This window comes from Homo sapiens, chromosome 5 (assembly GCF_000001405.40).
Source record: "Homo sapiens chromosome 5, GRCh38.p14 Primary Assembly".
NCBI classification, from domain to species: Eukaryota; Metazoa; Chordata; class Mammalia; order Primates; family Hominidae; genus Homo; species Homo sapiens.
Genome location: NC_000005.10, coordinates 149582262 through 149596087, shown reverse-complemented (window position 1 = coordinate 149596087; position 13826 = coordinate 149582262). Strand labels below are relative to the sequence as shown.

Genomic DNA, 13826 nt, shown 5'->3' with positions numbered 1-13826 from the left:
GACAGTATTTGAAACTCAGTGAACCAGAGACTTGGGCATTAGTGCCCAGGTAGGAATAGGAGACAAGCTCCTTCACAGAACTGGGACCCCCCCAGCCACAAGGACTTCTGTGAAATGGTGGATCAGGAAAAAAAAAAAAAAATGCAGCTATCCACACAGAAGATGACAAAGACAGTTCATCCTGGCTTGGGTTCTGGGTGAGGAAAAAAGGTCTCCTTCATAACATAAATTCGTAACAACACACCTGCCTTCACTGGGTTTAGGTCCAAATCAATGCTACACATGTGGTCCAGGTGGCCCAAAGCTGATAAATTTATACAAAAAGAAATCCTGAATTCTGAGTGGCCACAACAAAATAAAATGTTTCCAGAAGGACACGTCTTTAACCTAGGCCACAGATAACCATGTCCTGAAGATGAGTTTAGAATAAAAAATATAAGAATGCCCCTGTGAGTGAGTACCAGCAGAAACAACAAGAGCAGGAGTAGACCCCAAGAGTGTCAGATAACCAACCAGTCAGATACAGGCCAAAACAGAAACAGGGAAAGAGGAAAGACACTAGGACAAAAAATACAGACCTGTATAATGTTTTACAAGTACCAAATAGGGCTGGGCACAGTGGCTCATGTATGTAATCCCAGAACTTTGGGAGGCTAAGGCAAGAGGCTTGCTTGAGCCCAGGAGTTCAAGACCAGCCTGGGCAACATAGTGAGATTTCGTCTCTACAGAAAAAATTTTTTTGTAATTAGTCAGGCATGATGGTACATGCCTGTGGTCCCAGCTACTCAGGAGGCCAAGGTAGGAGGATTGCTTGAGCCCAGGAGGTAGAAGTTGCAGTAAGCCAAGATTGCACCACTGCACTCTAGCTTGGGTGACAGAGCGAGACCCTGTCTCAACAACAAACAAACAAACGAACAAACAAAAACAACAACAAAAGAAACATGAACACAGTAAGATACACAATTGTTACACAACATCCCTCATGTTGCCTTTTCACCTAATTCGCTCCAGTCCCCATCCTATCCTAATCCTTGGCAACCACAAACCTGTTCTCCATTTCTATAATTGTGTCCTTTCCCGAAATTCATGTAAATGGAATCACACAGTATGTAATCTTTTAGGATTGGCTTTATTCAATCAGCATAATTCCCTGGAGATTCATGTATATTGTGGGTATCAATAGTTATAGTTCCTTCCTTTTTATTGCTGAGTAGCTGAGATACTTTGTTTAAAAAAGTACAAAGGATACATGGCAAAAATGTTAAAATTAAACAAAGCTAGGAGGTAAGTACGTGGGTATTTGTTGTTTTGTGCTTTGTTATTTTCTGGATGGTTAAAATACTTCATAATATTTAAAATGGCACAGATCCCATGTAACCTTGTGCTCAGCGTGCTCATTTTCCTGGCTAGACACTAAGCTCTTGGAGGCAAGATGAGCACCTATTCATCTTGTATCCTCCTCTGTGCCTCACCATGCCCATGATTAATACTATTTGCTACATAAATGGTTCTTATGGATGTATTAGTATTTGTTGAAGTTTCTGTCTTAGGCCGAAGCCATTGTTCCATAGATCGGAGAGTACATAAATGGATGTTTGGGGAGGGCAGGGATGTACAGAGGGCAAAGGCCCAGAAAGATCCTGAAACAAATCTGTCTGATGCATAGCTGTATTCTGGCTCCCAAACACACCCCGTGATCTGCTGATTTGTCCCTGGCCTGAATGGCAACATTCACTACCTGTGCACAGCTTCTCTAGAAAGATCCCCATAGAATTTCAGGAAAGCTATTCAGGTTCCACAACTCAAAACTGTTGCTAAATAAATAAAATCATGAGAAATACTTTACAGAGAACTACTAAAGACTTACAACAGCATTAATTTGCACTTAGGTTAATTGCAATCTAGACCTCCTAGCAGGAAAAACCTCTCTGTAGCAGCATGTGTTATCCCTTAGATTATAGCCTGTGTAATGGAAAAACCTCATTGTTATTTCTTTAAAAACATCATGCCCTTATTTGATCATTACACATTGTATACAGGTATCAAAATATCACATATACTCCCCAACTATTATATATCCATTTAAAATAGCATGAAAAATAAACTAATAATTGTTTAAAGGAAAAATATCTATACTATTCAGCAATAAAAGAAATGAAGTACAATTGACCCTTGAACAGCATGGGTTTGACTGCATGGGTCCACTTATACACAGAATTTCTTCTGCCTCTGCCACCCCTGAGACAGCAAGGGCAACCCCTCCTCCTCCTCAGCCTACTCAACACAAAGACCACAAGGATGAAGACCTTTATGATGATCCACTTCCACTTAGCGAATAGTAAACATTTTTTCTCTTCTCCATGATTTTTTAAATAACGTTTTCTTTTCTCTAGCTTACTTTAAGAATACAGTATATAATACATATAACATACAAAATATGTGTTAATCAACTGTTTATGTTATCAGTAAGGCTTCCAGTGAACAGTGGACCATCAGTAGTTAAGTTTTTGGTGAGTCAGAAGTTATAAGTGGATTTTCCCTGGCACATGTTGGTACCCCAACCCCTATGTTGTTCAAGGATCAACTGTATTCATATGTTCTACAACATGAATGAATCTTAAAAACATTATGCTTAGTGAAAAAAGGCAATCACAAAGGGTCACATATTTTATTATTGCATTTATATGAAATGACCAGAATAAGCTAATCTATAGAAACAGATAGAAACAGAAAGATTGGCAATTGCCTAAGGCTGAGGGGATGGAGAATTGGAGTTTGGAGCTGAAGGATGCAACGTTTTCTGGGGAAATGATGAAAATGTTCTAAACTGTGGTGATGGTTGCACAAGTCTGTGAATATACTAGAAACTATTGATTTGTACACTTTAAATGGGCAAACCATATGATATGAATTATAGCTCAGTAAAGCTGCTACCAAAAAAATATTATAGAATATCAAATGCTGGCAGGAATGTGGAGAAACTGGATCTCTCATACACTGCTGGTGAAAATGTAAAATGCCTGGGTACAGCGGCTTACACCTGTAATCTCAGCACTTTGGAAGGCTGAGGTGGGTGGATCACCTGTGGTCAGGAGTTCAAGACCAGCCTGACCAACATGGCAAAACCCCGTCTCTACTAAAAATATAAAAATTAGCTGGGTGTGGTGGTGGGCACCTGTAATCCCAGCTACTCAGGAGGCTGAGACAGGAGAATTGCTTGAACCCAGGAGACGGAGGTTGTGATGAGCCAAGATCGTGCCACTGCACTCCAGCCTGGATGACAGAGCGAGACTCCATCTCAAACAAAAACAAAAACAAAAACAAACAAACCAAAAAAAACAAGAAAACGTAAAATGGTACAGCCACTCTGGAAAACAGTTTGTCAGTTTCTTCAAAAATAAAACATACACTTTCTGTGTAACTCAGCAATTCCATGTCTGGACATCCCGCAGTAAGAGAACTTATGTACAAAAACCTGTACATAAGTGTTCACAGAAGCTTTATTTGTAATATTCAAAAACTGGAAACAACCAAAATTTCCTTTAATAGATGATGGTTAAACAAACAGTGGTACATCCATGCCACTGAATACTCAGAAATGAAAAGGAACGAACTGCTGATACAGCAACAGCTTGGATGGCTCTCGAGGGCATGATGCTATGTGAAAAAAAGCCAATCTTTAAAGGTCACATACTGTGTGATTCCATTTAATAACAAAGAAAATTGTAGAGATAGAGAACAGATTTGTGGCTGCCTGGTTAGAGATGGGGATGGACAGCAGGTAGGTGTGAGTATAAAAGAATAGTAACAGAGAGAACTTTGTGGTGACAGTGTTATTGTCTACAACAGAATATTCTGTAATTTAATTGAGGTGGTGACTACACAAATCTACACATGATAAAATGGAATAGAACAATCAAACACAAACACGTATATTATACCAATGCCCATTTCCTGGTTTTGATGTTGTGCTATATTTAAATAAGATGTAACCATTGGGGAAACATGGGTGAACAGTACAGAGGGCCTCCCTTTGCTATTGTTGCAACCTCACCTTGATGTATAATTATTTCAAAATAAAAATGTAAAAGCAAAATATTATACAGATGCTCTTCGACTTACAATGAGGTTATGTCCTGATAAACCCATTATAAGTTGAAAAATGTATAAGTAAAAAATGTATGAAATATACCTGACACCTAGTGAACATCATAGCTTAGCCTAGATTACTTCAAACATGCTTAGAACACTTAGATTAGCCTACAGTTGCCCAAAATCATCTAATACAAAAATCTGTTTTATAACAAAGTGTTCAATATCTAGAGTAATTAATTGAATACAGTATTGAAAGTGAAAAATAGAATAGTTGTATGGGTACTCAAAGTACGGTTTCTACTGAATGTGTATCATTTTTGCACCATCTTACAGTCAAAAATTCATAAAGTCGAATCATCATAAGTCGGCGACTGTCTATATAGCTTAAGTTATTCACTATCTTTGCAATACTCTCAGGACAAAGCAGCTTAAAAGCCTGGGAGAAGCCAGGCAAATGGTCTCACACCTATCATCCCAGCTACTCAGGAAGCTGAGGAGGGAGGATCACTTGAGTCCAGGAGTTCAAGGCTGCAGTGAGCTATGAGGGCACTACTGCACTCCAGCCTGGGCAATAGAGAGAGACCTCATCTCTTAAAAAAAGACAAAGGCTGGCCGAGCACGGTGGCTCACGCCTGTAATCCTCAAACTTTGGGAGGCCGAGGTGGGTGGATTGACTGAGCTCAGGAGTCTGACACCAGCCTGGGCAGAAGCAATAGCTTGCTGCAGAAGTATTAACTCTGGAACATTCAACTTTTTTTTTTTTTTTGAGATGGAACACAAAAGTCCTAGCTCCTCAGGAGGCTGAGGCAGGAGGACTGTTTTGAGCCCAGGAGGTTGAGACCACAGAGAGCCATGCAAGGCATGGCCATGATTGTGCCACTGCAGCCTGGGCATCAGAGAGAGACTCTGTCTCAAAAAAGAAAAAAAGACCTAAAAGAGGTCCTCTGTACTATTCACTCATGTTTCCCCAGTGGTTACATCTTATTTAAATATAGCACAACATCAAAACCAGGAAATGGGCATTGGTATAATACATGTTTGTGTTTGATTGTTCTATTGTATTTTATTAAGTGTAGATTGGTGTAGCCACCACCTCAATTAAATTACAGAACACACCTATAATCCCAGAACTTTGGGAGGACGAGGCGGGAGGATCACTTTAGCTCAGGAGTTTGAGACCACAGTGGGCAACGTGGTGAAACCCCATCTCTATAAAAAATACAAAAAAATTAGCCGGGTGTGGTGGTGCACATCTGGAGTCCCAGCTACTCTGGAGTCTGAGGTGGCAGCCATTCTCTGCCTGGGAGGCAGAGGTTGCAGTAAGCCAAGAGCCAAGATCACACCACTGCACTCCAGCCTGGGCAAGAAGAGTGAAATTCTGCCTCAAAAAAAAAAAAAAGAATAAAATAGCCAGGCCAGACGCGGTGGCTCACACCTGTAATCCCAACACTTTGGGAGGCCAAGGTGGGCCAATCACGAGGTCAGGAGTTCGAGACCAGCCTGACCAACATGGTGAACCCTCGTCTCTACTAAAAATACAAAAATTAGCCAGGCATGTTGGTGTGCACCTGTAATCCCAGCTACTCAGGAGGCTGAGGTAGGTGAATTACTTGAACCCGGGAGGCAGAGGTTGCTGTGAGCCAAGATTGTGCCACTGCACTCCAGCCTGGGCAACAGAGTGAGACTCCATCTCAAAAAAAAAAAAAAAAAGTTGAATGATCTGCAGTTAATACTTCTGCAGCAAGCTACTGCTTCTGATTCTAGAACAGAATAAAACTGAGTTAATTCTTTTCTCTCTCTTCTCTTCTGTTCACACTGGCACAGAGGGATTTGGGCATTCCCACATTCATTCAACAAGTATTTGGAGCAACTACTACATGCCAAGCATTTTGCAGGATTCCAGAAATACAAAGATCAGGAAAAAGTGGGTCTACAATTAGGATAAGGTATTTAAAATATCTGGTTATTTGTTCCAGGTTTCACTCCACTAAAAGCAGAGGAACTATTTAAATTAAAACATGATGTAGGTTGGGCACAGTGGATCATGCCTGTAATCCCAACACTTTGTGATGCTAAGGTGGGAGGATTGCTTGAGCTCAGGAGGTGGAGACCAGCCTGGGAAACACAGTGAGACCCCATCTCTATTAAAAAAAAAAAATTTAAATTAGCCAGGCGGCCGGGCATGGTGGCTCACACCTGTAATCCCAGCACTTTGGGAGGCCAAGACGGGAGGATCACCTTAGGTCGGGAGGATCACCTGAGGTCAGGAGTTCAAGACCAGCCTGGCAAACATGGTGAAACCCTGTCTCTACTAAAAATACAAAAATTAGTCAGGCGTGATGGCGGGTACCTGTAATCCCAGCTACTCGGGGGGCTGAAGCAGGAGAATCACTTGAACCTGGGAGGCAGAGGTTGCAGCGAGCTGAGATCTCGCCACTGCATTCCAGCTTGGGCAACAAGAGGGAAACTGTGTTTCAAAAACAAAACAAAACAAAAAATTAGCCAGGCATGGTGGTGCATGCCTGTAGTCCCAGCTACTTGGAATGCTGAGGTGGGAAGATCGCTTGAACTCTGGAAGTTGAGGCTACAGTGAACAGTGATCATGCCACTGCACTCCAGCCTGGACAACAGAGTGAGATCCTGTCTTATAAATTAATTAATTAATTAATAAAACATTATGTGTCAATTAAAAACATAATAAAACTTTTAAAAAATGATATGGGCATCCTGATTATTTAATCCCTTTCAAGAGAGAAAAGTAACAAGAGGAAACAATATTCAAAACTTTTTTTTTTTTTAAGAGACAGGATCTCACTCTGTCACCCAGGGCTGGAGCACAGTGATGCAATCCTGGGCTCAAGCAATCCTCCCACATAGCTGGGACTACAGACATGTGCCACCATACCCAGCTAATTTTCTAACTTTTTGTAGAGACAGGGTCTCACTTGTTTCCGAGGCTGGTCTCTAACTCCTGGCCTCAAGTGATCCTCTCATCTTGGCCTCCTAGTGCACTGGGATAACAGGCATGAGCCACTGAGCCTGGCCTAGTTTTGACCAATTGGAGGAACTGAATGGAAAAATGGAACTAAGCTGATCCCTGGGGAAAGTGAAATTATCATTTGAAAGTTCTTTCAGAAGATAAAATGTCTGGGCAGGGAAAGTTGAGGATCCATCAGCTAGCTGCCCAAGGCTTTAAAGGGGAGCCATTTTATTTATTTATTTTTAATTTTTTTTCTTTCCCTTTCTTACTCCCAGGAGGAGCCCATTTAAACATTTAAGGAAGGGGGGAAAAAGGAAAACAATCTGGTCTCAGACTCCAGGAATGGTTCATAGAAAGCTGTCAAAGGTGAAGCTCAGACATCATGAGAGCAAAGGACCCTGTTGAAGAATAAAGGGGCCGGGCATGGTGGCTCATGCCCATAATCCCAGCACTTTGGAAGGTCAGGCGGGCAGATCACATGAGGCCAGGAGTTCGAGACCAGCCTGGCCAACATGGCAAAACCCCATCTCTGCTAAAAAATATGAAAACTTAGCCAGGCGTGGTAGCACACGCCTGTAATCTCAGCTACTTGGGTGGCTGAGACACAAAAATTGCTTGAACCTTGGAGGCAGAGGTTGCTGTGAGCTGAGATCATGCCACTGCACTCCAGCCTGGCATGGAGTGCAGGCACTCTATTAAATATTTTACTTGGATTATCTTAAGAAATCTTATAACAACCCTGTAAGAAAGAAAATCTGACAGAGCAAGATTCTGTCTCAAAGCAAACAAACAAACAAACAAACAAACAAACAAAAAGGCCGGGCACCGTGGCTCACGCCTGTAATCCCAGCACTTTGGGAGGCCAAGGCGGGCAGATCACGGGGTCAGGAGTTCAGGACCAGCCTGACCAACATGGTGAAACCCTGTCTCTACTAACAATACAAAAAAATTAACCAGGAGTGGTGGCACACGCCTGTAATCCCAGCTACTCAGGAGGCTGAGGCAGGAGAATCGCTTGAACCCAGGAGGCGGAGGTTGCACTGAGCTGAGATCATGCCACTGCACTCCAGCCTGGGCGACAGAGTGAGACTTTGTCTCCAAAAAAAAAAAAAAAAAAAGACTAAAGGGAGGGAAGACCTACAGAAACAAGAATGTGCACATAGGGACCCTGGCTACCAAGCCTGGTTTATAAAGATAGACACCATAGTCAGAAGGGAGGATCCTGTACAAAGAGCTTCCAGAACTCTAAAACCCCCAAAAGAGCTGGAATCAACAAAATTATAAGGATAACTTCCAAAGTCCCATCCCTACTATCACTACCAAGCATATTTTAAGACTGATGTTCAGAAAAAGTAAGAGAGAGGCACACTATTTGGTGGCAGTGCTTTCCTCTTCTTAGTCCTAAAGATTGATTGTGAGAGGTGTGGTGAAGGTTAGGAGCCCAGGCCCTGGAGCCAGAAAAATGTCATTTCAAATGCTGATTCTGCAATCCATTAGCTGGCTTTCCTAGGATATTTATATAACCTTTCTTACAGGGTTGTTATAAGATTTCCTAAGATAATCCAAGTAAAATATTTAATAGAGTGCCTGGTACATGGTAAACTCTCAATTATAGTAGCTGTGGTTTTTTGCTTCTATTATTGTTAAGATGGAAAGGGTAGCATTACCATTGATCAGATGTATGAAGTTGTCTAAAGACACATGGCCGATCTAGATGCATAATATTTAAGCAGGTGCCATAAACAGCTAATCATAGTAATAAGAAGAACTATATATCAGAGCCTTACTGAGAATAAGACTAATACCATAGAAACAGAGCTGAGAGACTGAGAGAGAGACTGAAATGATGGCATGACTCATTTCAGCCATGATAGAGACTGATTGCCTTTTTCATATGAGTGAATACATTTTTATTCCTCATCCCCCTTTTCCCTAAGCCACTCTGAGCTGGATTTCTGCCACTTGATTACAACAAATAGTTCATTAGCCCTTAGAAAGGGAAACAGAGATCATCTGGAGTCAGCATAGGCTAATTTAATAAAAACTGGTCATGCCAGAGTTTCCTCATTCTCTTACTGACAGTCAACTAGATCAGTAGATCAAAGGAATGCTGTAGTCCAGTGTATCTGGACCAGGAAGGTGTTGTCAGTCTCTTGTGACATACTTACATGTATGGAATAAGAGGCAGTGGTGGAGGCTGGTGTAGAGGGCAGAGACAGGACAGTAATAAGGACTAAAAAGTGATAAAACTACTAAATTCAAAGAGTGTTGATCAGTGTCCACCTCTGGGCTCTGTTTTGTTTTATTAAAGATATCTACTAATTTGTGCTTTCCAACTCTGAGACCATCTGGGTCTAAACCTCCACCACCTTTCTCCTGGACTGGTACAACAGCTTCCTGACTGGATACACAGCATCAGAGTGGAGTGGTCTTTCAAAAACATAAAATTGGGCTGGGCATGGTGGATCACACCTGTAATCCCGGCACTTCGGGAGGCCGAGGCAGGTGGATCACCTGAGGTCAGGAGTTCGAGACCAGCCTGGCCAACATGGTGAAAACCCATCTCTACTGAAAATTAAAAGAAAAATTAGCCAGGCATGGTGGTGCATGCCTGTAGTCCCAGCTCGGGAGGCTGAGGCAGGAGAATCACTTGAAACTGGGAGGCAGAAGTTGCAGTGAGCTGAGATTGTGCCACTGCACAACCTGAGCAACAGAGCAAGACTCCATCTCAAAAACAAAAACAAAAAACAGAAAAACATAAAATTTGTCACTTTACTTCTCTGCTTGAAACCCAGACAAGTCTATCACTGATTTCCATCACACTTCAAAAGAACCACTCCTTTCCCATGATAATTATTTTGTTTATTCTATTTGTTGTATGACTCAGAGTTTCATTCAAAATAATGGAAACTCCATGAGGGCAGGGATCATGTGTCTATTATTCATCAGTGCATTACCTAGTGTTTACTCTAGATCTAGCATTTAGTTGGTGCTCAATTAATTGAATTAATGAATGAAAGACATGGGCAAACACTGGCAGAATAAATATCAAATTGTCAATGACATTGTTGCAACTGGAGTTAGACTGATATGGTCATACACAACTCTTGGTTCTTCTTGGAAGCCACCAAAAAGTTTGAGTTCAGGTATGGAATAGCAACTCCCTTTGAATTTTATGTAAAATGAAAAATACAGGCCAGGCACAGTGGCTCACACTTGTAATCCGAGCACTTTGGAAGGCCAAGGCAGGCGGATCACTTGAGGTCAGGAGTTCGAGACCAGCCTGGCCAACATGATGAAATCCTGTCTCTACTAAAAATACAAAAAATTAGCTGGGCGTGGTGGCAGACACCTGTAATCCCAGCTACTTGGGAGGCTGAGGCAGGAGACTCGCTAGAACCCAGGAGGCGGAGGTTGCAGTGAGCCAAGATCACGCCACTGCACTCCAGCCTGGGCAACAGAGCAAGAATCCGTCTCTAAATAAATAAATAAATAATACAGTATGCACTATGTAGTGTTTTTTGCCTGGGGCTTTCTTTCAGAAAAATTATTTTGAGATCCATTCGTATGGAAGCATGTATCAATACATCGTTACTTTCCATTGCTTAGCAGAATTCTGTTATATGGATATACCACAATTTGTCTCTTCACACACTGAATAAACAACTGTTTGTTTCCCGTTTCACTATTACAATAAAGCTGGACCTAGGAGTGAAGTTTCCGGATAACATGATAAGTGTATATTTAACTTTATAAGTTAAGTGTGTATTTAACTAAGATCTTTTTGAAAGTAGTTGTACCATTTTACATTGCAACCAATGGTATATAAGAGATCCAGTTCCTCTACCTTCTGGTCAACATCTGGTAGAGCCAATCTTTTCATTTTAGCCATCCTAATAGTTATGAAGTGATATTTCACTGTGGTTTTAATGTGCATTTCCCTAATGAGTAATGATCTTGAGTATCTTTTCAAGTGGTTATTTGCCACCCATATATATTCTTTGGACAACATTTAGAAAAATTGTTTAAATAATGAAAGAGGCTCTTGCTCATTATATAACTAAATAAACAATATAGAAACATATAAAGAAGGCCGGGCATGGTGGCTCATGCCTGTAATCCTAGCACTTTGGGAGGCCAAGGCAGGCAGATCATCTGAGCTCAGGAGTTCAAGACCAGCCTGGCCAACATGGTGAAACCCTGTCTCTACTAAAAATACAAAAATTAGCCAGAAGTGGTGGCACATGCCTGTAATCCCAGCTACAATCCCAGCTACTCAGGAGGCTGAGGCAGGAGAATCACTTGAACCCAGGAGGTGGAGGTTATTGTAAGCAGAGATCATGCCATTGCACTCCAGCCTGGGCGACAGAGCGAGACTCCATCTCAAGAGAAAAAAAAAAGAAAAAGAAAAGAAACATATAAAGAACAGTTTATAGTCAAAATTAGAAAAAACATCCCAATATTTTAGAAACTACTGTGAAACAAAATAGAGCCACAGAGCCAAAAAGGGAAGGAATTTTCCAAGTCACTGTGCTTACAGAAAAGGACTTCTCTGTGTTGATAAATAAATGATTGGAAGTGAGGCGGAAAGACAGCAACAGACATCCCCTCTCCCATACGCAGACAGACATACACATTCTCTCTCTCTTTCCTGGAGGAAAAACTCCCCTTTATAAATACATGGAAAGGACAGGTGGTATGTGTCTTAACCCAAATCAAACAGCAGCTGTTTGTCCTTAGCCATATTTCCCCAGTTCTATTTGGAAGGCCTAAAAAGGTCTTCCAAAAGAGGAAGGAGACAACACAGTTTTTTTTTAAAGCAGTTATTTTTATAGATAAGTGAGTCTGCCCAGGCTCTGTCATCACAAGTTTGGATCCATAGATTTAAAGTTCTTGAGCCTTCCAGTATTAGGGAATTAAGAAAATAATAACAATTATTAGAATTATAAAATTCTCTGGGCACAGTGGCTCATGCCTGTAATCCCAGCACTTTGGGAGGCTGAGGTGGGAGGATCACTGGCATCCAGGAGTTCATGACCAGCGTGGGCAATATAGCAAGACCCCGTGTCTACAAAAAGTAAAAAATTAGCCAGGTGTGGTGGCATATGCCTGTAGTCCCAGCTACTCAGAAGGCTGAGGCAGGAGGATTGCTTGAACCTGGGCGGTTGAGGCTGCAGTGAGTTGTGACTGCATCACTGCACTCAGCCTGGGTGACAGAGGAGACCCTGTCTCTAAATAAACAAACAAATAAACAAATTCTTCAGCCTATTAATAAACAAGCAATAGGCTTTGGACAGTCAAGCTCTACAAATGCCATTTTGCTTCTGTTACAGCACATGAAAACACATTCCCTACCTCATTAGTTAAATAAAAAGCCATTTATTTGATCTAGGGCAGAATCAGCCAAGGCACTGTTTACCACAGTAATCTGCTGATCCAAGAGGGATGTGAGCCAACTGCCAGCAACTCCTATTCCCTGGCAGAAATTCAGCTGAGGCTCTATTGCTGAATAAGGGTGGGTGCTGCTCAGGTCCCAGTTTATGTCCTCTTTCCTCTCATTTAAAAACAAACTCTATAGGCCAGGCACAGTGGCTCACGCCTGTAATCCCAGCACTTTGGGAGGCCGAGGTAGGCAATTGCCTGAGCTCAGGAGTTTGCAATCAGCCTGGGCAACACGGTGAAACCCCATCTCTACTAAAATACAAAAAATTAACCGGGCATAGTGGCGTGTGCCTGTAGTCCCAGCTACTTGGGAGGCTGAGGCAGGAGAATTGCTTGAACCCGGGAGGCGGAGGTTGCAGTGAACCAAGATTGTGCCATTGCACTCCAGCCTGGGAGACAGCGAGACTTCGTCTAAAACAAACAAACAAAGAAAAAACAACAACAAAAAAACGGGGTGTTGACCCCATTTGAAAGAGGCAAGTGAAGCCCAGTAAACACTCCTTGTTACAGTATCTGGTAGTTTCTACTTTCAGCTTTTGACTTGGAGTCAAATATTGAGGGTAGTACCTTGCTGCACCCTTATTTAGGATACCATCACGAAGGTATGTGGTGTGGTCTGTAAGTCATAATAGGGCTGACTTTATTTTTTCATGTTTATAATTTTTTAAATTGTATTTTATTTCAGATACAGCCCAATTTCTTCCAGGTCATCACCCTTTCCTAATTCCCACAGCTTTGATGATTTTGTGTGTCATCACTTTTTTTTTTAATTAATTAAATTAAATTTTAAACTGTGTACATAATAGATGTACATAGTTTCAGGGTACCTGTGATACTTTAATATATTTATAAAGATCAAATCAGTGTACTTGGGATATCCATCACTTTAAATATTTGTCTTTATGCTAGAACCATTCAAATTATTCTCTTCTAGCTATTTTGAAATATACAATAGATTATTGTAAACTATAGTCACCCTATAATCGTCAGCACTTTTATTGAGCATATATTATGTCAAGCACTAGCCTTTATGTTCATTCTTAAGTCTGACAATAACCTGGAGGATGAAGCAGACACTCTCATCCCCCGTCTACACATAAAACTAGGCCTTGAAAAGGTTAAACTATGCTTCCTGGATCACACAGCTGGCTGTCTGGACGCACAGCAGGTACTCCTCCACCAGCTGCCTCCCTTCAAAGGAGCAAAGAAAGTGCTCTGAAACCACCCTGCCTGAGTAGCAGCCTGCAGGCATTCCTTACAGCAGGAATTCATGTCAAATCTCAAACTGTGCACAAGGCTTTGTGTGAAC

The 13826-nt window shown here is 41.6% G+C and overlaps 1 protein-coding gene across 6 annotated transcripts in view, besides 1 other annotated feature; it reads right to left on the bottom strand.

The window, feature by feature from the left end:
* ARHGEF37 (Rho guanine nucleotide exchange factor 37) overlaps window positions 1–13826 on the bottom strand; it is an 83344-nt gene that overhangs the window by 38881 nt on the left and 30637 nt on the right. The window contains exon 2 of one of the 6 annotated variants that reach the window (XM_006714784.4): window positions 6446–6562. The exons of the other annotated variants lie outside the window; for them this stretch is intronic. The gene's annotated coding sequence lies outside the window, so the exon portion shown is untranslated. The remainder of the gene's footprint in view (window positions 1–6445; window positions 6563–13826) is intronic. 6 annotated transcript variants of the gene reach the window in all.
* Window positions 12413–12582: an enhancer, noted in NCBI's record as "experimental_82232 CRE fragment used in MPRA reporter constructs". NCBI's record gives its function as "activates a minimal promoter by MPRAs in K562 erythroleukemia cells, with activity observed for both the introgressed and non-introgressed 5:148963154 variant alleles {active_cell/tissue: K562}" and the evidence as "EXISTENCE:reporter gene assay evidence [ECO:0000049][PMID:34662402]".